Raw genomic sequence first — 26,779 nt, 5'->3', positions numbered from 1 at the left:
CATGGAAAAATTTTCTTCCATGAAACTGGTCCTTGGTGTCAAAAAGGTTTGGGACTGCTAGTCAAGACCACAGTTGAAAAGATGTATTATTTGCCCTTTAGAAGCTTACAATCTAAACTATCCAAATCCAACATAAAGGAAGTAATAATGGCTTAAAATAAACAAAATACACTGAGCAATAATTTAAAGACTCAACTAAAATACACATTTTATGCCAGTAAAATATCAATGTATTTGTTATACACAAAGAAAAAAGCAGTGAAGAAGTTTCATCAATCCATTGTTTTTACTTATTTTAGAATGACAAGATATTCGTGACAGAAAAATACACTTGCCTTTTAAAGTCAAAGCACCTATCAAGTGCCAAATTAGAAGAGATTGTTTCATTTTATAAATCGCAGTTAGGTTACAGAGTAGGTGCAAATTCAGATACACAGAAACAAATTCTTTGAAAAAGTGCCAAAATCATCCCCCATGTATTAATTAAAACCTAACCATAGAAATGAATCATTCCATCTTTAATTCATCTTGTTAGTTCATAAAGATTTTATTCTTGGCCTGCAAGGAAAAAAAAATATTTGAATCTGTAAATATTCTAAGAGTATAATTTTCTTTATTTTTAGGAAAGTACATGATACTCAGCAATACTAATGCATTCTTAAAATGCAAGCAAACTTCAGTTACTGCCAACTGTCCTTGATGTGTTTGTAACACCCTAAAGATTAAACAGTATAATGTCATAAATCCTATTACAGTATATAATCTCTAAATTACATTCAAGGGGATAAAAATATACAGCATATTAATGAACTTTACATTTTCATAACACCCTTTACACTGAATGTGAGAATCTTGTTACTTTGGATAAAAGTTTATGAAAATCCATCTCTCATAGCTATTAAATAAATATATTCTGCTCATCCTTGGAATCAGTTACTCTGAAAATGATGTAGCCTTAGAAGTGGATTAACCTCTTACGTTTCTCTTGCCCCAAATTTCAAGATTTATTTACATGCTATCCACAAATGGTGGGATAGAAAGTAAAAGGAACTAAAAAATAAATAATATTAAACTAAACATAATCATACACTCATGTTTAGAACATGTTTTTAATAATCTGAAAAAATTATAGCAAACTAAGTTTAATAAAACAGATTTTCCACACACCCCCAACCCCACAAAATCCCAGTGTGAGAGTTCAGGTTTACTGAATAATGAGATGGGAAATAATACAATCTCCAAAATATTATGTCCCAGAAAAAAAGTATAACATATGTACTGTATAATGTAAGATGCTTAGCAAATTGGCTGAAATTGTAAAAATAAATAAATAAATAAATAAATAAAATGCATGAATGAACAGATATTCCTGATAGTGCATCAAATAGTGTCCCCTCCCACAAAAACATATCCAAATTCTAACCCCAAGAACTTCTGAATGTGACCTTATTTGGAAACAGGGTCCCTCTAGATATAATTAAGGATCTTGAGGTGAGATTATCCTGAATTTAGAGTGGACCCTGAAACCAATGACAGGTGTCCATAGAAGAAAAAGAAGAAAAAAATTTGAGACCAAAGCCACCTGAAGACAGAGGTAAAGACTGGAGTGATGCAATCACAAGCCAAGGAATGCCTAAGATTACCAGCCACACCAGACACCAGAAAAGAGGCACAGACAGGCCTCCCTCAGAGCTCTACAAGGAACCAAGCTTGCCAACAGACTTCTGGCCTCCAGAACTCTTGAGAGAAGAAATTTCTGCTGTTTTAAGCCATTGAGTTTATGGTAATTTGTTACAGCAGCCCTCAGAAACTAATACATTCCTTTAAGTAGCAAACAAGAACAGTGTACATTTATATGCAAAATAATACATCATCTTATTTATTTAAAGGCTCTAAATTGTAACCTGATATTCACCTTATCATTTAACACCAGATCAAATGGAACACCCAGGAAGACTGCCTAAATGAGTGTCCAAATGATGGTAGATGATCACAACTCCTAAGGGATAGGAGGTGATCACCTATAGTATGTGTACCTAACATAGCAAGAGATCTTTTGCGGACTTTAAAATACAATAAAAAACCATGACTACTTGTAGATGGCACCCACGACCTCTAGAGACTGTTGGCCTGGTGTCTGCCAATTGCCTCCTGAAGTGTAAGCAAATAAAATAATATGTTTAGTTTCGAAGTACGGGTCAAGGGGACAACATGTTAAGGAAAAAAAAAGATCTCAGCAAGTTCCAATAGGCACATCCAGAAATCAGGTAGGTGGAAATCTAAGTTACACTAACATTCCTAGAAACCCACAGGAAATCTAAAAGACATAATAGTCCTCAGGGACTATTGCCATTCTAAAATGTGAATCCTTTTCTTTTCATGACCATTTAGAATGAATTTTAGAACATTCATACGTAAAAACAATGCCTTTCAGAAGTTACAATAGACCTCTCCAAATACTCAAAGAGTTATCCCAAAAACAGTCATGCAAGTGACTACTTCCTAAGAAGTATGCCTGAGCAAACCTATCCCACATGCAGCCTGAACTTCAACAACAACAACAACAACAACAACAACAACAAATCACCAGACAGAGGTTAAAACTTGGGTAATAAAATAGCATTTTATCAGCTGAAAGACAGTCAGATCAATAAATAAAGCTGGAAATCTCTCTCAGGGTATTCGTACTATGTATTTCCTTACTGATACCAAGTACAAAAGAGAAAAATTCCAGAAATAGAGGTGTCAGGGGATTCAGGATAAGAGATCAGGAGAGCAGGAATAGGATCCTGCCAGGCCCCATCAGTAAAACATAGAGCACCTCTTGCTCTCCCAGCTCTGGCATAACTTTTTAAATGCCTTTTTTTTTTTTTTTTTGATGCAAGCCAATAATGGGAATCTAGAAAACTGCCACTAAGGAGTTAAGTAAAACAGGGAATAATTTACTTTATCAATGATCCAAACCAGCCCCTGAATCATCAGATGATATAGACCAAGTTGATTCTTAGATTTCTATCGATTCAGTTAACAACATACACATATTACGTTGCTCCATAACAAAGTATGACACAAAAACAGTAAGGAATTAGCTCAACTAATACTTAACTACAGAAGGCTTCCAAAACGTACAAAATAACACAAACAAGTGTGAATGTCAGCATAATAGATACTGTTGAAAGACTTATTTGAGTATCTCTTCCTGTGGCTAGAAAACACATCTGGAAAAACACACAATTACAATACAAACACAATCCAATAAAAGTCCAACCCCTCTCTACTGTGCAGGGAAAGGAGGGGCTCAAGGCCATAGAAGGAGCTATGCTTGAATTTACAAAACTACCAGATGGCCAAGAGGGGACTAGATCAAGGGTAGAGGGCGGAATAGCATTGTTGTTCAGCGTGTAGACTCTGGAGCAAGAGGAGTTGGGTTCAAATCCTGAGTTTCCCACTTACTTGGGCATATTACTTTATCTCTTTACACCTATTTCTTTATTTATAAATGAGAGATAAAATTCATTGGGGTTGTTGATGTGAGGAGGAAAACAGTGAAAACATGTAAAGTGCTCAGGAAAGTAAAATAAGTAAAATATTTGCTATTAGCATTGAAACTGTACTCATCCATGCCTGGTAAACTGAAGCAAATTAACTGTTAGTTTGAACCATATAAAATGTTTATGTTTGTAGGTCAAAATACTCTGAATATCAACAACGCTATGGTTCAAATGAACATCAAAGAAAGGGCTGTGAAAACAAGTTGCTAAGAATGTCCATGAGGCCCAAAACCTAAAAAGTAATGTACTCACACAGTGGTTCTAAAATATAACTGAAGGAAAAGGATTTCTGCACCAGGCTGAAAACAAATAACATTTCAAATAATAAAGCACACAATTCTGTATGACTGACCTCTCAGGCAACCAATATTTCACACTGGATTGATTTTGAAAGGTGAACTAATATTTTATATTCAAGTACCTATTCTCTCTCCTCTGAGTCACAAAATGAGAGTTCACACAGCTTCAAACGGTATACAATGTACTGTTATGTATTAAATAAAGAGATGTCTAATTTCAAGCACATGAACATTGCATAAGCTACTGCTGATTTATGGTTTTTAATCTAAAAGTGCCAAGAAAACTTTTTAATCAACATAATTTTTGATAGAATATATTTACATTTCATAAATGTTTACATTGATTTTAATATAATTATTTCTATCTTCCTAAATATTTCCTGAAGGATTTCTTTTCTGTTTCTCTCCCCTGACCCTGCTTAGAGTTGGGGGTCTCACTATGGTGCCCAGGCTGAAGTGCAGTGGCTACTCAGATGTACAATCATAGCACACTACAGCCTTGAGCTCCTGGCTTCCAGGGACTTGCCTGCCTCAGCCTGCTGAGTAGCTGGGATTGCAAACATGTGCCCAGCACTAGGCTCACAGAAGGATGTTACTACGATTTAACAATGTATCCACCATGTACCTTAAAGGATGTCATTCTCTCACACTAAAATGAATATACTGAAACCTCAAAAAATAACAACACAATTTCAAGACAGACTGATTTTCCACAAGGCTGTCTTATGTTCCATCTTTGAAATCACTACGACTGGGCCAGGCGCGGTGGCTCATGCCTATAATCCCAGCACTTTGGGAGGCTGAGGTGGACGGATCACTTAAGGTCAGGAGTTTGAGACCAGCCTCACCAATACAAGTGAAACCCCTTATCTACTAAAAATACAAAAATTAGCCAGCCGTGGTGGCGTGTGCCTGTAATCCTGGCTACTCAAGAGGCTGAGGCAAGAGAATGGCTTGAACCTGGGAGGCGGAGGCTGCAGTGAGCCAAGATCGCCTAGGTGACAGAGCGAAACTACATCCAGCCTAGGCAACAGAGCAAGACTACATCTCAAAAAAAAAAAGAAAAAAAGAAAAAAAAATACAACTGTAATCATTAGAAGATATGTAAAAAAATAAGCAAAAATAATGCTAATAGATAAATGTGCCTGTATTATCAACAAAAATTGAAATGCTATTCTTAAGATTTTAAGACAAGACTGACAACTGTAATTTTGTATTTTTTAACAACTCATTAAAAGGCCAGCCTCGAACTTGCAGCCTATTTCCCTGTCAACATTTTCAGTCTTCACAGCATCAGATTACAGCATAAATGTCAAAGAATTAGCAATGACTAGCTCATCTAGTAATAATATCTCTATAAACCAACAATTTATATATTTCAACTCCCTTTTTAAAAACATTGATATAATTCACACACCATAAAAATCATCTGTTTGGGCTGGGCACAGTAGCTCATGCCTGAATCCCAGCACTTTGGGAAGCTGAAGTGGGAGGATGGCTTGAGCCCAGAAGTTTAAGACCAGCCTGGGCGACACAGCAAGACTCCATCTCAAATTTTTTTTAAAAATTTATAAAAATAAAGAAAAATCACCTTTTTGAAATGTGCAAGTATTTTCTAGTACATTCACAAAGTTGTGCAACCATAATCCAGAACATCTTCCATATATCCCACATCCATTACAGTACCTTTCCATTCCCACATTCTCCCAGCTCCTTCCTGTCAGCTACTAATCTACTTCCTGTCTGTATGGATTTGCCCATTTGGACATTTCACGTAAATGGAATCACATATTTTGTGGCCTTTGGTGTCTCATTTCTTTCACTAACGTGTTTTCAAAGCTCAGGTATGTTAAAGCATGAATCTGTACTTCATTCCTTTTTATGACTGAATAATATTCCATTTTAAGAATATACCACATTTTGTATGTCAATTTATCAACTGATGGATATAGCGTTTATTTCCAAGTTTGGTTATTATGAATAATGCTGCTATAAATGTTCTCACCCACTTTTGAGATACATGCAAAAAGTTTTGAAGTCAGTGCAAATCACAGAGCAAAAATCTCTGAAGTCAAACTAAGTGATGAAACAATTTGAAGTAGTCATACCTTCTTCCTTAGGTAAAGGCTGCTCTTCTGAGTTTATTCATTCTACATTAAATATCATCTGGACAAGTGAAACTGAAAAAAAAATCTCATCTACCCTTGCAAACTACAAATAAAAAGGAAGGACAACGAAATAACAAAGAAAGCTACAAAACAATATTCTAAGTTTCTTACACTGAGCTGATCTGCTTCTAAAAAAAAACTACACAAAGTAATTTGTTAAAATAAAATTACAAATTAATAATTAAAGCATAGAACATACCAAATATACTTATACCAAAAATGTATTTTAACAGTTTGAGCTGTTTTCATTAAGCACTATGGCAAAAACTTCTGCTAAATATCAAGGAATAACCTGATGTATTGGAAAACAATCTCCAAATATTTGTTTTATAAATAAAACAATCATATCATCCGAAATGACCAAATCTACTAATTAGAGATTAAATATCTTATATAGTCTCACTTAGAATAAAGTATCCTATATATTTGAGAACAAAAATTAATTTTGTTGATTTGTGATTTGAAGCATTTTGATAAAGAAAATCTCCTCAAATACCTGCCTGAAATAGTTTCAACTCAAATCATACACAATGTGGCCAAAACCCATTACAACTAAAATAAGAGTTTGCAATTTATCAATTCAGTAACAGACAAGCCAATATTTATGTTTGCTTTATAACAAAGGACAACAAAAATGTTACCAAAAGAATGCAAAATTATTCCTCTATAAATAAGTGGCATGTTCAAAATATTCCACCAAAGTAAATACAGCATTCAAAAAGACAAGACGTTTTTTTCAGATTGTGAAACTACAGCAATTTTCAGAAAACAAATAGTGTTTTACTATATACTAAATATACTTTTAAAACCACCAAATTGTACCACTGTATTATTAACATTAGAATTTTCTGAATCTATTTTTTTAACCCAGTTTTACTTACCAGTTAGGAAAATTAACAGTATGCAATGTCTTTTTTCCCCCTAGAGGACGTTTACAGGAGAATTCTGTGTTTAAAAATCTACTTTTAATAAGCTCCTAAAAGGAAGTTTTCACTTAAAAAACATAAACAGACCAATTAGCATTCTGTAATTTCTTTCTGCTCTAATTTTCAGCTACATATTTAAACCAATGACATCTAGTCTATTACATTTATAGAATATCAAATATACTCTGTGCCTAATTTTTAATTCAAATTCAATAAATATTTATTGAGTAGTCTACTACATGCCTAACACTATGCTAAGTGCAGGGGAAAAAAAATAACCATTTTGGTTTTTCCTATCTTTCTCCTTGTCCTTATGGCCTATACATACAATCACTTGATGAAAAATGCCAGCAGGGGTGTACTACCCTAATTTACTATGCACTTGACTTAAATTTATACTTATGGACTCTAAACTCAAAATTCAAATAAATACCAACTATGAAAAAGAATCTACAAGAATATGTTTTTCTGTAGGGCACTCATCATTGAGGGGTAAAATTTTTCTCATATGCATCATGAAGGAAGATCCTTTTTCCATGTTGTTGGCAAAACTGTCAATCATCTTGATGAGCAGCAAATAAATGAATGCCCAATGATGGGATTCTGTATTATCCTTAAAAAAGAAATCCATCAACTCAACATCAACAGGTAAATGTTTATACTCGACAGCCATCAATTTCAACTATCCATGCAAAGAGACAGGTGAGCTGGACTGGTAAACCTCGAAATTAGAGAGGTATTAATCGTCTGCTTCCAGCCAACATAAACAGATGTTATTTTTAAACAGGCAAAAATCATCTCTTCCACTGAAATTTATTTGCAGCAGATAATGTTCTGTTACATTTTTAATCAAGCAGATGAAGTTACATTTAAATTGAAAATCTGCTTCACTTAACTAATCAGGCAAGTAAAATTCAGAGATGATTGAATGGCATTACACAGCGCACTATTACGGCAGGTAAATTGGGAAATTTACCTGTCACACCACACAGGGTATTGTTCACCCACTGCATCTGCAACTTAGAAGCAAAGCACTAAGACAAAAAGGGAAAGGCATGTAAAACAGACTTATAAATCGATCATATTTTATGAAAACATTATTAAGGCTGCCAGCAAAAATAAATAAATAAATAAATCATTTTAAAGTAAAAGGGAAAAAACACACACCACCTCTCAGTGACTCAATGAAAATTTACATGGGTTATGCTTATCTGCTTCATGTAAATAGCATGCCTGGTTATTTTGAAGATCAAGATACTACGGAAAAGATGCAAACAGTACATAATGACAGAGGCAAAGAAATAATGACCACATAATATCAAGAATAGACAGTCAAACACAGGAAAGGTAAATAAAACACTTTAACAAGAAGAGACACAGTAAACATTATGCTGATTTGCAAAATAAAATATCAGTCATCATACAGATCATTAATTTCATATCCAAAAATTTCTCAATCTACCTTATTTATAAAAAGCTTACCTATTTTAGTCACCTAGAGTTAGCAAGTTGACATTTCTAAAATGCCTTCAAAATTTACCTGACATATCCACAAAACTCTAATGGCTATTTTACGTGTTTCTTAACAGAAACCCAAAATTTACTTTCACTGTTTAATATCTGTAAACTCAAAATACGTCTGCTACAACACCTGAACTTTGTATCACTGCTCATTATGTTGACTGTGAATTATTCCAACAACATGTACCAACACCGCGTTAAATCTTTTATATCATAACTATAAGAGTTTTATCCTCACAATAACCTTTGAAATATAGAGGTTTATTTGCCAACCATTGTGAGTTTTCTTCTTTCCATTCTTCCTTCCTTTCCTCTCTTTCTACTTTCTCTTTTACCTTCTTTCCTTCCTTTTTACCTTCTCCTTTTTTCTTTCCTTTTCCTTTTTTTTTTTTTTTGGTGGGGGGTAGGGGGCGGCCAGTGGGGAAGCAATGGGTTTGAGAGGGGAGGTGGGGGTACAAATGGTATGTGACGCTGGGATGTGTTTTAAGTTACAAAGGCGAATAATGTTACTGTTGTATTCTTAACAATGAAGTGAACCTACCCTGATTTTCCACTAAGAGTGATAAATTTGGACTGACATATCCAAATTCTATCATGGGGTTCATAAAGCTAGCTAGAAATCATATACTCATCAGCATGGTGTTTTAATTACCAAGGCACCATTACTGGCTAGGTTTAGGGTTAGAACAGTTTTAGGTTTACAGAAAAATTGTGAAGATAGTACAACGAGTTCTCATGTGCACCACAGCCAGTTTCCCCTATAATAGTGACATCTTACATTAGTATGGTAAATTTGACAAAATTAATGAAACAATATTGATACCTTATTAACTGAAGCTCATACATGATTTCTTTAGTTTTTAATTTTTTTCTGTTCTAGAATTCTATCCAGGATACCACATTACACTTAGTTGTCATGTCTCCCTAGGCTCCTCTTGGCTGTGACAGTATCTCTGACTTTCATTGTTTTTAAGGAATACTGGGTTAGGTATTCTACAGAATGTCCCAAATTGGGATTTGTTTGATGTCTTTCTCATGGTTAGGCTGTGGTTATGGGTTTTGGGAAAAGAAAACCACAGCGGTAAACTGCCATTCTCATTATATCATATCAAGAGTATATCCTATCAATGTGACTGATCTTTCATGTCAGTCTTAATTGCCTGTCTTATTGTGTTCTCTCTTAGTCTCAGCCCTCCCCAAAACTGCATTTACCCCTTTCTGAACTTCATAATCTCCATTATGACATATTACTATTCTTCATTGTTGAAAGTGATAGTTTTTCACAGCTGCTCTCTGTAGGTATGGCTCAATGGGGCAGGAGGAATCAAAGAAACAACCCAGCTGTACTTTCCACACTGCACAAAGATTAGTCTTTGTGTCACTACTTACAGTGATTACTCTCAGTCTGTAGCTATTTCTGACCTAGCTCCATGCTTTTATTTTTTAATTTTATTTATTTATTTATTTATTGAGACTGAGTCTCACTCTGTCACCCAGGCTGGAATGCACTGGCGTGGTCTCAGCTCACTGCAAACTCCACCTCCCAGGTTCAAGCAATTCTCCTGTCTCAGCCTCTCAAGTAGCTGGGACTACAGGTGTGTGCCACCACACCCAGCTAAGTATTTTCAGTAGAGACGGGGTTTCACTGCGTTGGCCAGGCTCGTCTCAAACTCCTGACCTCGTGATCTGCCCACCCTGGCCTCCCAAAGTGCTGGGATTACAGGCGTAAGCCACCACACCCGGCCTAGATCCTTGCTTTTAAAGCCAGTACAAAAAGAAGCTCTCAACTTTCTGTTGTCCTGGCCCCATTTTACTCATATTTCCAGGGGTAGGACTGAGGCATCAGTAGTTTAAAAAAACAAACAAACAAACAAAAACACCAGTGTAAGACCTTATCTCTATATATTGACTGCTACAGTAAAGGCTGGTCTGTCTTCCCATTTACAGAATTCATAGCTATTACTCTTTGGGGTTTCCATTTCCGATATATCTTCAGTTATTCCCCTAATTTAGCCTTAGCTAAAATGAATCCTATATGATTTAAGCAGCAGGAACACTGCAATGCTGTTTAGACACCGGTAGATTAAGCATTGTCAGAAGCTGAGGGCACTCACTGACATTTAGAAGCATTACTAATTTTTAAAATATATACATTAAATGTATATATTTAATTCAGTTATGCATATATTTTAATATATGATGTATGCTTCCATATATTAAAATATAATTACATATTAATATATACCAAAATATATTGACATATATTATTGATTCCAACATGAAGACCACAAAAGTCTGGATATTAAAACACCACAAACAGTGATAAAATGTTCTTTTAAATGTGGGACTCATTTCTGTACTGAAGCAACAATCTATAGGGTGGCTGAGTTCCTAGGCTACCTTAATGAAAGCGTATTTAACAAATGAGGCTAGACTGGGCGCGGTGGCTCACGCCTGTAATCCCAGCACTTTGGGAGGCCGAGGCAGGCGGATCACGAGGTCAGGAGATCGAGACCATCCTGGCTAACACGGTGAAACCCCGTCTCTACTAAAAATACAAAAATTAGCCAGGCATGGTGGCAGGCGCCTGTAGTCCCAGCTACTCCTTGAGGCTGAGGCAGGAGAATGGCATGAACCCAGGAGGCGGCACTTGCAGTGAGCCAAGATCGAGCCACTGGACTCCAGCCTGGGTGACAGCAAGACTCCATCTCAAAAACAAAACAAAACAAACAAACAAACAAACAAACAAAAACAAATGAGGCTTAAGAAATATTTGTCAGAAGCATATGAAATTGCCATATTCAACCATTACACTAATTTCTTGTTGTTCAACCTCTTACATTTTTGATAAAAGACAAAAAACAGCCTTTACCACAACAGTATTTAAACAAAACAAAACTAAGAAATTATTTTAATTTATTTAATCTTAAATACTAGTATGTGAGAGAAAGGCTGGTCAGATCATATGGTCTGCAAGACAGACAATTCTACCATAATAAAAGAGACAAAATCATTTTGTGGGGAATGAGGCAATGGACTATAAAATGGGAGAAAAAATTTTACTGAAACAGAGTCTCACTCTGTTGTCCAGGCTGGAGTACAGTAGCATGATTTTGGCTCACTGCAGCGTCAGCCTCCTCGGGGGTTTAATCGATTCTCGTGCCTCAGCCTCCTTGAGTAGATGGGATTACAGGCGAGCACCACCACACCCAGCTAATATTTTGTATTTTTAGTAGAGATGGGCTGCGGTGTGCGGGGAGGGGTTTGGAGGAAGGGTATCACCATGTTGGTCAGACTGGCCTCAAACTCCTGGACTCAAGTGACCCGCCTATCTCGGCCTCCCAAAGTGCTGGGATTACAGGCATGAGCCACCACGCCTGGCCTAAAATGGGAGAGAACTTCTATTAGAGATGAGCTAGCAGAGGAAGAAATATTAGGAATCACAGAAAATCGAAGCTAGAGCTGCCAGAACAAAAACAATGAACATCAGTCCTCAGTTTGGAGGTGCTATTCTGCGATACGGTTTATACATATAGTTTTGCATGCTTAAAAGGAATGAAGATAAGAACTTTAAATAATTAAGGTATTTATATATTCTCATAGTAGGATGGTAAGAAAAACAGGCTGTATCAGGTACCTTGACTATACCCAATAAACCACAGGATCAAATATTCCTTTTTTTTTTTTCTTTGAGACAGTCTCACTGTCATCCAGGTTGGAGTGCAGTGGCACGATCCACCTCCCGGGTTCACGCAATTCTCGTGCCTCAGCCTTCTGGTAGCTGGAATCACGGGCATGTACCACCATGCCCGGCTAATTTTTGTATTTTTAGTAGAGACAGGGTTTCACCATATTGGCCAGGCTGGTCTTGAACTCCTGACCTTAAGTGATCTGCCTGCCTCGGCCTCCCAAAGTGCTGGGATTACAGACGTGTGCCACCATGCCCGGCCAGGATCGAATATTCTTAAGGCTGTTAGGGTAACTTTCCCATAAAGCACCTAGCACATAGCAAGACACTTAGTAAAAGTAATTTATTTTCCTAGACAGTGAATACTCCAAACCCTTAAATAGTGACACAAACAAGAATTAGGGAAGAATATTCCCTCTCCCTCCTTTTCTACTGAAGGGTACCATCAGCTACTAGGAATGACATAAGAAGTTAGATATAAATATCCTTCAACATAAACTTGTTATATTATAACATTCTTATTCAAATTATCCATTATGAACAACTTCTATTTTCTATGCCTTTATTGAGATAATAGTGTTTTAGATTCTGCTTTTCTACTTAATGAAAACACTACATAACATTTCTGATGACTCACACAGTCTTCCAAGATACAGCTGTACAATCAACAATTACTCCATTTTTCCTGGACATTCATGTTATTTCCTTTTTTAAAAAACATACTTTGCACTCACACGGTATTGATAGGAATGTAAAATACAGCTACTCTGGAACTTTAGCAGTTTCCTTTTTTTCTTTTTTGAGACAGGGCCTTGCTCTGTCACCCAGACTAGAGGCTGGAGTGCAGTGGTGTGATCTCAGCTCACCGCAACCTCCGCCTCCCAGGTTCAAGCGATTCTCGTGCCTCAGCCTCCCAAGGAGCTGAGATTACAGGTGCCACCATGCCTGGCTAATTTTTTGTATTTTTCGTAGAGATGGGGTTTCACCATATCGGCCAGGCTGGTCTCGAACTCCTGACCTAAACTGATCTGCCCGCCTCAGCCTCCCAAAGTGCTGGAATTACAGATGTGAGCCACCACACCCAGCCTAACTCATCGAATTTTTGTAATAATTCTACAAAGTAATTTTCTACATTGTACAATTGAAGAAACTATGCTTAGAGATGTTACGGCTTTCACAAGAAATACAGTGAGTATATGAACGAGGTATAATTCCACAAATCATGTTTATTCCCATTACACAATAAACCATAATTTCTGCCTAGAAGAGTAAACATGATGGTCATTAAAAAAATTAATAAGAAAAATAATAGGTTTATTAAGTAATAACAAGGGCCAATTTTAAGTTTCTCTCACAAGTTTATAGTAGATTCAGGCCAGTTGCTGTTAATCAGAAGAATCTGATACCAACTGTACCATTAACAAATCGAACACATAAAAGATCAAAGAAAAGTTTTTAATCTGATTAGAAGGTAAATATTCTTTAATGATCTCCCCCAAAAAAACAAACGTGCTGTAAAAATATATAGTTGTATTTGGCTCTATACAATAGATTTGCTTCTGAAATGCAGAATCTAACTGAAGTTTTATAGGTATTAAATTTCAAAACATACCATCAGAGATCTCTGTTAAAGGAATTCTACGGTGAGTCCTTTGGAAAAGAATGTTTTCCTTATTTTGTCTGTTCTGTATTACATACCCATATAACAGTTTTATAGTATGCATAAGATAAAATGCTATATGAACAGTTAACTACAGTAGTCTGCAAGTACATTTTCTTATTCTGGTTAATGGAAACTTCATAATCAGTCTGCAGGGTCATAAGAGGTTGAAAGAGAAGGAACTCAGAAAAAACATGTTAAATCTTCAAAATGAACAATGAGACACCAACCAAAAGAATATCTGTCACACTACTGGAATGCCGACATTGCTAACTCAAGTCCCTAGTGCATGCCCACGTTGCTCACTCAAGTCACAACTGGAATGCCCACGTTGTTCACTCGAGTCCCTATTGGAATGGCCACGTTGCTCACTCAAGTCCCTATTGGAATGCCCACGTTGCTCACTCGAGTCCCTATTGGAATGGCCACGTTGCTCACTCAAGTCCCTACTGGAATGCCCACGTTGCTCACTCAAGTCACAATTGGAATGCCCACGTTGCTCACTAAAGTCCCTATTGGAATGCCCACGTTGCTCACTCAAGTCCCTATTGGAATGCCCACATGGCTCACTCAAGTCCCTATTGCAATGCCCATGTTGCTCGCTCAAGTCCCTACTGCAATGCCCACATTGCTCACTCAAGTCACAACTGGAATGCCCACACTGCTCACTCAAGTCCCTATTGCAATGCCCACATTGCTCACTCAAGTAACAACTGGAATGCCCACGATGCTCACTGAAGTCTCTCTATTGGAATGCCCACATTGTTCACTCAAGTCCCTATTGGAATGCCCACATTGCTCAATCAAGTCCATAATGCAATGCCCATATTGCTCACTCATGTCGTTGCTCACACAAAAACTGTTGCTCAAATTAAAATACCAATGCTGGAAGTACTTTATGAACCACTGCAAGACACCGTGTATATTCAAATTTTTAAGAAGAAATGCCTTTAAAAATAACTTATCTATGAATGGTCCATAAATATTATTTTGCACACTCAAAACACCAGATGACATTCCCTTCTATTAATGCGTAAGACAATGGGGGGAAAGTGAATGTTTAAAAGTCAGTCTGTAATGTCAAAATATCCGGCAAAGTTCAGAAAATTATCAAAAGTGAAGGTATAAAAGATGCTAAAGACCATTTTAAGAAAACAGTACAAATGATAATTTTAGAGTAACAAAAGCAACAAATTTACAATTTTAACAGATTTTCCTAGCTGTTGAACCTGCCCAGCAAATTTTAAAACTTAGTCAAGGTGTGCATAAAGAATCTAAACGAAATAACATGTAATTTGCAAATAATCCCTTATGAATTTTGCCTCTGATCTTCACTTTGTTTTTAAAATGACAATTTGGTAGCTGAAGAAAGTACATTAGAACTTTAAGAGACACAGGTCCCATAAAAACTCGCCTCATTTATTAAACCAAGTGTACAAAAATTCTCTTATTTAATGAATTTGATAGAAAAAAATCAACCAGGTCAAGATCACCCATGAATAGAGTAAACTGCTACTTATTGGTAAGATTTAAGAAATAACAGAAGAATACATCTACCAAAATAATTTTTTCCATCTGAAAAACATCCATTCCTCTTACTCAAATATAAGCAATATTAGAAAAGGTAACCATGTTAAGTCATTATAAGCTAAGGTCTTGGAATTTTATTAGTAACTAGTTTGTAGAACTCAAGGTCCTCTAAAAACTATGGTTGAGGCACTGAATGGTATCTGCAGGGAAGAAGAGTCCCTAAACAGAGGTTCAAGAAGATGTCAAATATGGGAGGCTGAGGGAGGATTGCCTGAGCCTAGGAGTTAGAGACCAGCCTGAGCAAGATGACAAGACACCATCTCTAAAAAAAACTTTTTAAAATTAGCTGGGCATGGTGGCATGCACCTGTAGTCCCAGCTACTCAGGAGGCTGAGGGAGGAGGATTCCTCAAGCCCAGGAATTCGAGGCTGCAGTGAGCTTATGATCGCACCACTGCACTTCCGCCTGTATCTTAACCAAAAAATAAAAATAAAAAATAAAAAAGAAGATGCCAGTAGACTTTCATTAATTTCACTGTTTTGTCTATTAATGAAACTGACAGAACATGAAAACAGCACTCACAAACAAGCTAACAACTCACCAGCAAGAAACAATGCTATAGCTGGAATTCTGCCACCTTGGTTCTCTCCACTACACAATTTACCTTCACCCCACTTCTAACAACTACACATACAAGGGCCAATGAAAGAGCAAATAAGTAAAAGAACTTAACAGGGAAACTCAATTGTACACATTTCTTCCCACAAAGTTCTTTTTAAGGTGTCGCTTCCAATTTTACCCCAAGTAAAATCTAAAAATCATACAAAACTACAAAAGTGTATTTTATAAACCTACTGTCAACCATACTATTACAATTGCTTCAACCCAGGACAAGTATAAATACTAGTTAACTACAGTCCTGCAATCTGTGAGCTTTTTTCTCTAGAACAGGAGAAAAAAACTCCCTGGTTTTTCTACTGATGAACTTAAACCTTTTGAGCTTTTGATCTATACTTTGATGGCTGTGTGTTACCCTATAGATAAGGCCTCAAACAGTCATTGGAAGTAGCACCATTTTATCACCCCAGAGGTTAAGAAAGGTGCTATTACTGAAGTTGTTTTAAAAGGTTGGGACAATGAGAAGAGCTAGAATGTCCAAGTATTTGTGGATTAGAGCAGAAATTGTGTCATTAGAGTAGACTTAGAGAAGAAACGTGTCGATGAGTAGAATAGAAATATGTGTCAATGAGATCCAAGAAAAAGACAATATAGGGATTAAATGCATCTGAACTCAGACCATTTGGTTTCATTGGCATGTTTTCATGATGTACACAAATTACACCCAAATTCCTCTTACCAACCCTAGAGAACAAAAATGCGTACCAGTCCCATCACTCTATCCCCTTTTCCCAAACAAACAGACAATTTTGGCTGATCCTGTCTTAGTTATCCTTCCTAAGTCCAAAAGCTCTCAGAACTCTCCTCAACACTCTGTTTCAAAAGATTGGAATTGGTATGTGAGAATGAAACCTATTTGCTACTCTTAGGTAGCTTACAAACAGAATTCAAAAAACTCTTGAGTGTAGCAATCTTTGGAAAATTTCAATTAAGAAAAATTTCTCATACATATGAATAGCCTCTGAGAACTACAATATGTCTATGGCACCAAATAATTAATATTAGAATAATTCTAAGACATCAGAAACACATCCATATATTCTGTTTAAGGTTGTATTTGAGAAAGATTCCCAGAAAAATCAGTTCAACTATTTTAAAAGTAAGGACACTGAAAAGAACAAACTTGTTTTAAATATAAAATGGTTAGGGTAGACTTTTTTATTCTTTTTCTAATTTTTTTTTTTTTTAAGAGATAGGATCTCACTTTGCAGCCAAGGATTGCAGTGGCACAATCATAGCTCATTACAGTCTCAACTTCCTGGGCTCAAGCGATCCCTCCAGCCTCAGCCTCTTGAGTAGCTGGGACTACAAATGCATGCCACCAAGCCCTATCTTTTGTATTTTTTGTAGAGACATGGTTTCGCCATGTTACCCAGGCTGGTCTTGAACTGCTGGGCTCAAGCAAACCACTTGCCTTGGCCTCAAAATGTGCTGGGTGGGACTGCAGGCATAAGTTGCCAGAGCCAGCCAAAAAATTTTCAAAAGGAACATAGCAATAATTAAAATCAATGAGAAACTGCATTCAGAATTTAGAAATTTTCTTTATAGTCTACTTTGTGTCCAAAGGAATGCTAGTATATACACACAACAAAAACCCCATGTTATAAAAGTAATTAAAAGATAATAAAGAAAATAGCAAATTTATCTTAAAAAATTTCTGAAGACTATTAAATTCTAAAACCAGCAATGTTGGGTTACCAGGGGAATTAGACTTAAGATAAAGTATCCATAGTGAAATTCCCACTGGAGCTACATTTAGGTCAGAGAAGCTGGCGCACGTCTAGTTTGCAAAAGAAAAAAAAATCTCACAAAGTCTTCCAAACATCTCAAGGATGACATCTCACCTCTAGCGGGTAGGCCCCCAAGTGAAAAGTATGGTCCCATTCTATTAACAACATATTTGTGGATTTTTAGAACGAGCTTATGCCAGAGTACCAGAATTTCAGTCAACAAATAGCTGCCTTCCTGACATCAATGGAATGCTTCCCTTGAACTGACATCAAATCTCAAAAGAGGTTAAGAAAGATTATATCCTAGTAGACCCAGAAATTTTAAAATGTACCATAGGCAGTATCCTGACTATGACCCCTGTATTTTGTTTCTTCATAAATAGAGAAACTTAAAATTGGGCATTCCAGTTCATTTACTGGGAAGGTTAAGATTATTGCTTAACACAATATCAGTAACAATTTGTCAGGAGATCTTTCAACAGTTCAAAGAATTGCTACACAAACGGCAGAGAATTAGAATGTCTCGGGATGTAGGAAGGGTCCTGGAACTTTTAAAATTAAATTATTAATTAGACTTAAGATAAAGTATTGCTTATCTAATGCACTGGTTTCTGTCATTACGGCTGTGACTCTGTCTCCCCTACTAGAATGTGGGCTCCTGAGGGCGGGTCCCTGTCAGATTTGGCTGTGTCCCTCCAGCATCTGGCCCAAGGCTGGGTATTTGATAAACCTCAGTAGATGCTAATTTTCTACTCCTCAAATATGTACTGGGTACTTTGTTTTTGTAGAGATGGGGTCTTGTTATGTTGCTAGGGCTAGTCTTGAACTCCTGGGCTCAAGCAATCCTCCTGCCTCGGCTCTCAAAAGCACTGGGATTACAGGCATGAGCCAGCACGCCTGGCCTGGGTACTTTGTTTACATAATTTAATTTTAGTAGGCGTTATGGAGGAAATACCGAATATGCCAAAATATGAGATCGTAAATGTAAAGTGAATTCTTATCTTCCCAATAAGCAGTTTTAAAACTATGCTTTTTTTGTTTTGTTTTTATAACCTTTTTGACATATAAATACATAAACCTTTAGAGGGATAGGTGAAACAGTCTAATGTGCTCTAAAGCATTAAGTCAAACCTCAAATTATTACACAGAAATCAAGAGTGAGTAGCAGACTTCCACTTCCAACTCAGATAAATTAACAGGGATCAGATTTCCCGTCCCACCTGAAACCATCAAAAAATAAACAAAAAATAGACAAAACACATGAAAAAGCGTTTAAAACACGAGACATTAAGAAACAGGACAATAATCCATGAAAGACATCTAGGTGAATTCTAGCACTGCCCAAAGTTTATTGCCTTCAGATTTTCCAGGCCCCAGAACAGACAGCAAGAACCCAGGTAGACTCTTGACAAACTCCTGGAGTTTAGCAGAAAGGGATGAGAACCCAGGAAGACTAAAGACAAATAAATTTGAAAGATCTAGTAATAAAGGAGAGAATGCTACACAGAGAAATACTCCCACAGATCTCCAAAGGAGAATATTTCTGAATATTCGGCAAAGTGTTCAAAATGTGTAAAGAAAACATGTGAGGCTGGGGAAAGAATCACCCAAAAGGATTACAGAGAATAGTACCAGGCATTCACACAGGGATGGGAATAGTGTCTATTTCCACCAGTGAGACTGCAAAATCTCATCAATTTACATGATGTTGCATAGAGCAGTAAGAAGGGTTGTGTAGTAGGATTAGTTAGCCCCAAACATTCTTGTTTCCACCTAGCAAATCTTAAACGCAAGGCCCAAAAGGATTAAGCCATTTCTTGGTAATTTAATTTTATCCTAGAACAAAGGTCAAGAATATTAGTAGGAATATAAAAATAACCAGCATAAAACAAGTTAAAATTAATGTCTGGCTTCTAATCAAAGATTCCAAGGCATGCAAAAAAGCAGGAAAGTATGACTCATTGTAAGGAGAAAAATCAATTAATACTAACCCAGACTTGAAAAAGATGTTAAAATTAGGGGACAAGAACATTAAAACCATTGTTACAACTATATTCCTTACATTCAAATAGTACAGACATGGAAGATATTAGAAAGACCAAAATAAAACTTTAGAGATGAAAGTTACAATATTTGGCCAGGCATGGTGGCTCATGCCTATAATCCCAGCACATATGGAAGCTGAGGCCAGGAGTTCAAGACCAGCCTGGAAACAAAGCAAGATCCCATCTCTAAAAGGAAAAAAGAAAAAAAAAAAAAGGAAAGCTACAATATCTGGTATTAAAAACACATTGGACAGAATAGACACTGCAGAAGAAAAAAATGACCTTGAAGACAAAACAAGGAACTATCTATAATAAAACAGAGAGAAAAAAGTAAAAAATAACCCATAAAAAGCATCACTGATATGTGAGACAACTTCAAGCAGCCTAGTACACATATAATTCCAATCTCCAAAGAGGGCCAAAAAACTGAAAGAAATTTTTTGAAATTTTCCAAAATCTGACCTTTAAATGGCATTCTTACGCAGGATATTTATCAAGAGAGCCATATTCTGGGCTATAAAATACATTTCAACAAACTTAAAAGGATTGAAGTTTTACAAAGTATTTTATTTGAACACAATACATTAAATTAGAAATTAACCACAGAAAGATCTCTGGACAATCCCAAATTACGTACAGAAATTAAATAACACACTTCTAAATAACCCCTGGGTCAAAGGAGAAATCACAAAGGAAATCAGAACGTATTTTGAACAAAGAGAAAATAAAGACACAACATAGCAAAATTTGTGGGATGCCCTAAAGAAGTACTTAGTGGGAAATTGATAGCACTAAAAGAATGATCTCAAATCAACAACCTGAGCTTCCACCTTAAGAAAACAGAAAAATAAGAGCAAATAAAATCCACTGTAAACATTAAAAAGAATGTAATTTTTAAAAAGTTAAAAATAAAAAAAGTTTAAAAAGTTAAAAAAAAATAGAGAAAAATCAGTGAAACCAAAAGTTGGTTCCTTGAGAAAGTCATTAAAATTTACTAATCTCAAGACAGACATACCAGGAAAAAAAATGAGAAAAGTGGTATCACTAGAGATTCTACACATATTATTATTAGTTTTTGAGATGGAGTCTTGCTCTGTCACCCAGGCTGGAGTGCAGTGGCGCGATCTCGGCTCACTGCAAACCTCTGCCTGCCAGGTTCAAGCAATTCTCCTGCCTCAGCCTCCCGAGTACCTGGGACTACAGGTGTGCACCACCCTGCCTGGCTAATTTTTTGTATTTTTAGTAGAGACGGGGTTTCACCATGCTGGCCAGGCTGGTCTCGAACTCCTGACCTCGTGATCCGCCCACCTCAGCCTCCCAAAGTGCTGGGATTACAGGCGTGAGCCACCCCACCCAGCCGAGATTCTACACATAACTGAGGGAATATTATAAACAGCTTTGTGCCAATAAAATCAGCAACTTAGATGAGATTTTTCTTAAGTCCTCCAAACACATGAACCAGTGAAGCTTTCTGAAGAAACTGATAGCCTGATTAGCTATGTCTATTTAAAAAATTAAATTTGCAATTATAAACTCACCTGCATAACATTCCTAAAGGTGATGTTAACATTGTTCTCAGTTGGCCGAAGACTAATTTGATGAATCTGAATTTTCCAAAACAGATGATTCTGATGAGTCAGATGATTCTGATGTTAGTTCTGTTTAGAAATAACTCCAAGAACAGTTTTTATATTTTATTTTCACACTGAAAATCAGATTTGCTTCAGCCTCAAAGAGTGTGTTTATGTGAAATTACATGAGAACTGGCAGCAAGCTGCAGCTTTTTTTCTAAATGCAAAAAGGGTTAAAAAAATAATATTGCATGACCAAAATGTGATTTAACCCAGAAATACAAGACCACTTTAATATTTGAAAATTCAAGTCATGTAATTCACTATATTAAAATTGTGTGATTATCTCGATCAGACCCACAAAAAGCATTTGACAAAATCCAACATCTACTCCTGGTAAAAACAGCAAACCAAAGAAAATTTCCTCAAACCAATAAAGGGTATCTACAAAAAACCTACAGCTAATATTTACATAATAATGAAAGACTGTATACTTTCCCTCAAAAACAGGAACAAGACAAGGATGTTCACTCTCGCCCTATACTTAAGGTTCCCTTCCATCCAATATGGCAAGAAAAAAAAAACAAAAAAGTCATCTGCATTGGAAAGAAGTAAAACTGCCTTTTTTATTCCCAGGTGATAAGTTCCACAACTTAAAAATCCAAAAGAATCTACCAAAAAAGAAAAAAAATTCTAGAACTAGTAAGTGATTTCAGCAAAGTTATAGGAATCAAGATCAATATATACCAGTAATACTGGAAACTGTAATTTTAAACTGGTATCATTTCACAATAGCATCAAAAAATATAAAACACTCAGGGATAAATTTGACAGAAGATTTATAAACTAAAGTTATATTGTTGACAGAAATAAAAGAAGACCTAAATAGACAGATATACCGTGTTCACGATCTGGAATACTAAATATTTTTAATATGTCAATTCTCAATGGATATACAGATTGAACACAATCCCAATTCACCCCCCACCACACTTTCTGGAAGAAACGGACTACACTTAAAATCTATACAGAAATGCATCTGGGTGCAGTGGCTCATGACTGTAATGTCAACACTTTGGAAGGCCAAGGCAAGTAGATCTCTTGAACCCAGGAGTTTGGGACCAGCCTGGACCACAGAGTGAATAAATACCTAAAAAAAACTTAGATGTGATGGTGAATGCCTATAGTTTGACCTACACAAGAGTCTGAGGTAAGAGAATCAAGTAAGCCCAGGTCAAGGCTGCAGTAAGCCATGATCATGCCAATGTACTCCAGCCTGGGCAATAGAGGGAGACCCTGTTTCTTTTCTTCTTTTCTTTTCTTTCTCTTCTCTCTTTTCTTTTCTTTCTCTCCTTTCCCTCCCTCCCTTCCTTCTGAGACAGAGTCTATCTATCTTGTCTGTCTATCTATCTATCTATCTATCTATCTATCTATCTATCTATCTATCTATCTATCTATCTAAGACAGTCTCACTCCGTCACCCCGGCTGGAGTGCAGTGGTGTGATCTCGGCTCACTGCAACTTCCGCCTCCTGGGTTCAAGTGATTCTTGTGCCTCAGCCTCCCAAGGAGCTGGGATTACAGGCACACAGTATCATGCCTGGCTAATTTTTGTATTTTTAGTTACAGAGATGGGGTTTTGCCATTTTGGCCAGGCTGGTCTCGAACTCCTGACCTCAAGTGATCTGCCCAGTTCGGCCTCCCAAAGTGTTGGGATTACAGGCGTGAGCTACCATGACTGGCCAGAAGATCCTCTTTCAAAAAAAGAAAAAGAAATGCAAAGGACCTAAAATAACCAAAACAACTTTGAAAAAAAAAAGTTGGAGGATTAACACTATCTAACTTCAATACTAATTATAAAGCTACAGAATCAACAGAGTATAGTATAGGCATCATGAAAGACAAATAAACAGAATACAACAGACAACTGATTTTCAACAAAACTGAAAAAATAATTCAATAGAGAAAGGATAATTGTTCAACAAATGGTGCTAGAAGTTAGATATCTCCATATAAAAATAAAGGACTCTGATTTACACCTCACATCATATAAAAATTAACTCAAAATGAAGCAAAAACCTAAATATTAAGCCTAAAACTGTAAGATTTCTATAAGAGAACATACAGAAATTATCTATGACCTTTAGTTAGGCAAAGATTTTTGAGATTCAACCCCAAAAGCATGATCCATTAAAGAACAAACTGACACACTGGGCTTCAAAATTAATAACTTTTGCTCTTCAAAAGACACTATTAAGTGAATACAAAGCCAAAGCAAAGACTGGACAGTTTGCAAATAAACACATGAAAAGATGCTCAACATCATTAGTCCTTAATCACAATGTGCACCCACTGCACAAATATCAGAACGACAAAATTATCAAGACTGTTCGTAGGGTTAGCAAGGATTTGGAGGAACTGAAAATCTCATCTGCTGCAGTATGAGTGCAAACATAAAAAGGTAAAAACACTTTAGAAAACTGCTATTTTTTTCTTTTCTTTTTTTTTTTTTTTTTTTGAGATGGAGTCTTGCTGTCACCCAGGACGGGGTGCAGTGGCATGATCTTGGCTCACTGCAACCTCCGCCTCCTAGGTTCAAGCAATTCTTGTGCCTCAGCCTCCCAAGTAGCTGGGATTATAGGCACATGCCACCACACGTAAAAATACTTTTTGTTTTTTTTTGTTTGTTTGTTTGTTTGTTTTTGAGACAGAGTCTCACTCTGTTGCCAGGCTGAACTGCAGTGGTGCGATCTCGGCTCACAGCAACCTCCACCTCCCGGGTTCAAGTGATTCTTCTGCCTCAGCCTCCCGAGTGGCTGGGACTACAGGCGCACACTACCATGCCTGGCTAATTTTTGTATTTTTAGTAGAGACGAGGTTTCACCATGTTGGCCAGGATGGTCTCAATCTTTTGACCTCATGATTTGCCTGCCCCAGCCTCCCAAAGTGCTGGCATTACAGGCATGAGCCACAGTACCCGGCCTGTATTTTTTAGTAGAGACAGAGTTTTGCCATGTTGGCCAGGCTGGTCTTGAACTCCTGACCTCAGGTGGTCCAACCACCTCAGCCTCCCAAAGTGTTGAGATGACAGGCATGAGCCATCGCACCTGGCCTGGAACTGTTGTTTCCTTCGAAAGATAAACACACATATCCATTACAATTCAGCCATTCCACTCCGAGGTATTTACTCAAGAAGAAAGCATCTATCCATACCAAGAGTTGTACTAAAATGTTCTTAGCAGCTTTGTAATTTCTAAAAACTGGAATTCAAATGTCCATCAATAAGTGAATGGATAAACTGTGGGATAACCACAATCAATATATAATAAAAAGTATTGATACTTGCTACTTTATGGATGAATCTCAATTATGCTGACTGAAATAAGCCAGCCCTCCTCCACTCCTGAAGGGTCCCTACTGTATGATTCCACTTATGCAAAATTTTAGAAAGTGCAAAACTAATCTCTCATGACAGAATGCAATGGTTCCCTGGGGATGGACGGTATGAAGGGGCAGGAGACAAGATCACAAAGGAACATGAGGGACTTCTGGAGATTTAGGTTATGTTCACTATCTTGATTGTGATGATGGCTTCCTGTGTATATATGTATCTTAAAACCTATGAAACTGTACATTTTAAACGTGTCAAATATACTATACTATAGTTGACATACTATAGTATATTATGTATAATTCTATGTATTATATGTAGTATATAAGTATATATGTAGTATATACTATAGTATGTCAACTGTAAAGTTTACAAAAGTACCACTTTGCTAACAGCCATCTATATGATCGTTTACACATAGGTTTTTATTCAGATTTAGTTTCTGAAGTTATCTCCACAACTTTCCAAAGTATCTGACCATGCTCATTAAAAGGATATTAATGTGAAGTAGAAGAGAGTTGGATTATCCTCCTTTTTCAGTAGAGATGAGGTCTCACCATGTTGCCTAGGCTGGTCTCAAACTCTTGGGCTCAAGTAATCTGGCCGTCTCTACCTCCTGTCATGGATTTAATGTCCACCTGTTACAGCTCAAGAAGTGTTGTCTGCCATGCCACGGTCTTCAAGAGTCAAATGCAGAACTGCTAGCTCTTGATGGGCATTTACGCGTGATCTTCCAACTAAAGGAGTTATGTAGCTATGACGATCTGAGCTTATAATATTCCGTATACTATAGCTGCCATGTAAAGACCAAAGTGAACATACGTTGACATATCACTTATCTTATTTGGGCCTGAGATTATTAATGTACAAAGTGAGAGCACTGGCCTTGAAGCAGTGATTTATAATTGATCTGTGCCACTTTTTTTTCTTTTTTTTTTGAGACAGAGTCTTGCTCTGTCCCTCAGGCTGGAGTGCAGTGACGCCATCTTGGCTCACTGCAAGCTCCGCCTGCCAGGTTCATGCCCTTCTCCTGCCTCAGCCTCCCGAGTAGCTGGGACTACAGGAGGCTGCCACCATGTCTGGCTAATTTTTTTGTATTTTTAGTAGAGATGGGGTTTCACCGTGTTAGCCAGGATGGTCTCGATCTCCTAACCTCGTGATCTGCCCGCCTTGACCTCCCAAAGTGCTGGGATTACAGGTGTGAGCCACCGCGCCCAGCTGCCACTTATATTTTAACACAGACTTGTTAAGATATAGATTCCTTGGCCAGGCATGGTGGTTCATGCCTGTAATCCCAGCACTTTGGAAGGCGAGGCAGGTGGATCACTTGAGGTCAGGAGTTCAAGACCAGTCTGGCCAACATAATGAAACCCTGTCTCCACTAAAAATACAAAAATTAGCCAGTTGTGGTGGCCTGTGCCTGTAATCCCAGCTACTCGGGAGGCTGAGATAAGAGAACTGCTTGAACCCAGGAGGTGGAGAGTGCAGTGAGCTGAGATCGTGCCACTGTACTCCAGCCTGGGCAACAGAGCCAAGACTCCATCTAAAAAAAAAAAAAAATTATTGAGCCCCACCTGCATACATCTGTGGTAGAGATTAAGAACATACAGTTTTTTGGTTTTTTTTGAGATGGAGTTTCGCTCTTGTCGCCTAGGATAGAGTGCAATGGCACGATCTCGGTTCACTGCAACCTCGGCCTCCCAGGTTCAAGCAATTCTCCTTCCTCAGCCTCCCGAGTAGTTGGGATTACCGGCACCAGCTACTACACCCGGCTAATTTTTGTATTTTGAGTACAGACGGGGTTTCAACACATTGGCCGGGCTGGTCTTGAACTCCTGACCTCAAGTGATCCACCTGCCTCGCCTCCCAAAGTGCTGGGATTATAGGCGTGAGCCACTGCCCCCAGCCCATGTTAAATGTGACATACAACTAGATTTGGGATATTCTGGCCCACATAATGCTTTAGGACCTTTTAGCTGCAACATTATTATTTTTGAGACAGGGTCTCACTCTGTTGCCCAG

General features: G+C 37.3%; 1 protein-coding gene and 1 long non-coding RNA gene across 19 annotated transcripts in view, besides 1 other annotated feature; both read right to left on the bottom strand.

Moving 5' to 3' along the window:
- The window catches only part of ZCCHC7 (zinc finger CCHC-type containing 7), a 237,983-nt gene that overhangs the window by 170,880 nt on the left and 40,324 nt on the right, over window positions 1-26,779 (bottom strand). The window lies entirely within an intron of this gene.
- Window positions 268-26,081, bottom strand: LOC105376033 (uncharacterized). Its single transcript, XR_001746665.2, has 2 exons — window positions 21,335-26,081; window positions 268-558 (listed from the first exon to the last, which is right to left on the bottom strand). It is a non-coding gene; the product is annotated as an uncharacterized LOC105376033 (long non-coding RNA).
- Window positions 2,122-2,696: an enhancer, noted in NCBI's record as "OCT4-NANOG hESC enhancer chr9:37184571-37185145 (GRCh37/hg19 assembly coordinates)". NCBI's record gives its function as "activates a minimal SCP1, AML or CMV promoter by ChIP-STARR-seq in naive H9 embryonic stem cells {active_cell/tissue: H9 hESC(naive)}" and the evidence as "EXISTENCE:reporter gene assay evidence [ECO:0000049][PMID:30033119]".

The sequence above is a fragment of the Homo sapiens genome, chromosome 9 (assembly GCF_000001405.40).
Source record: "Homo sapiens chromosome 9, GRCh38.p14 Primary Assembly".
Classification (NCBI taxonomy): domain Eukaryota; kingdom Metazoa; phylum Chordata; class Mammalia; order Primates; family Hominidae; genus Homo; species Homo sapiens.
This window is presented reverse-complemented; position numbering and strand designations above follow the sequence as displayed.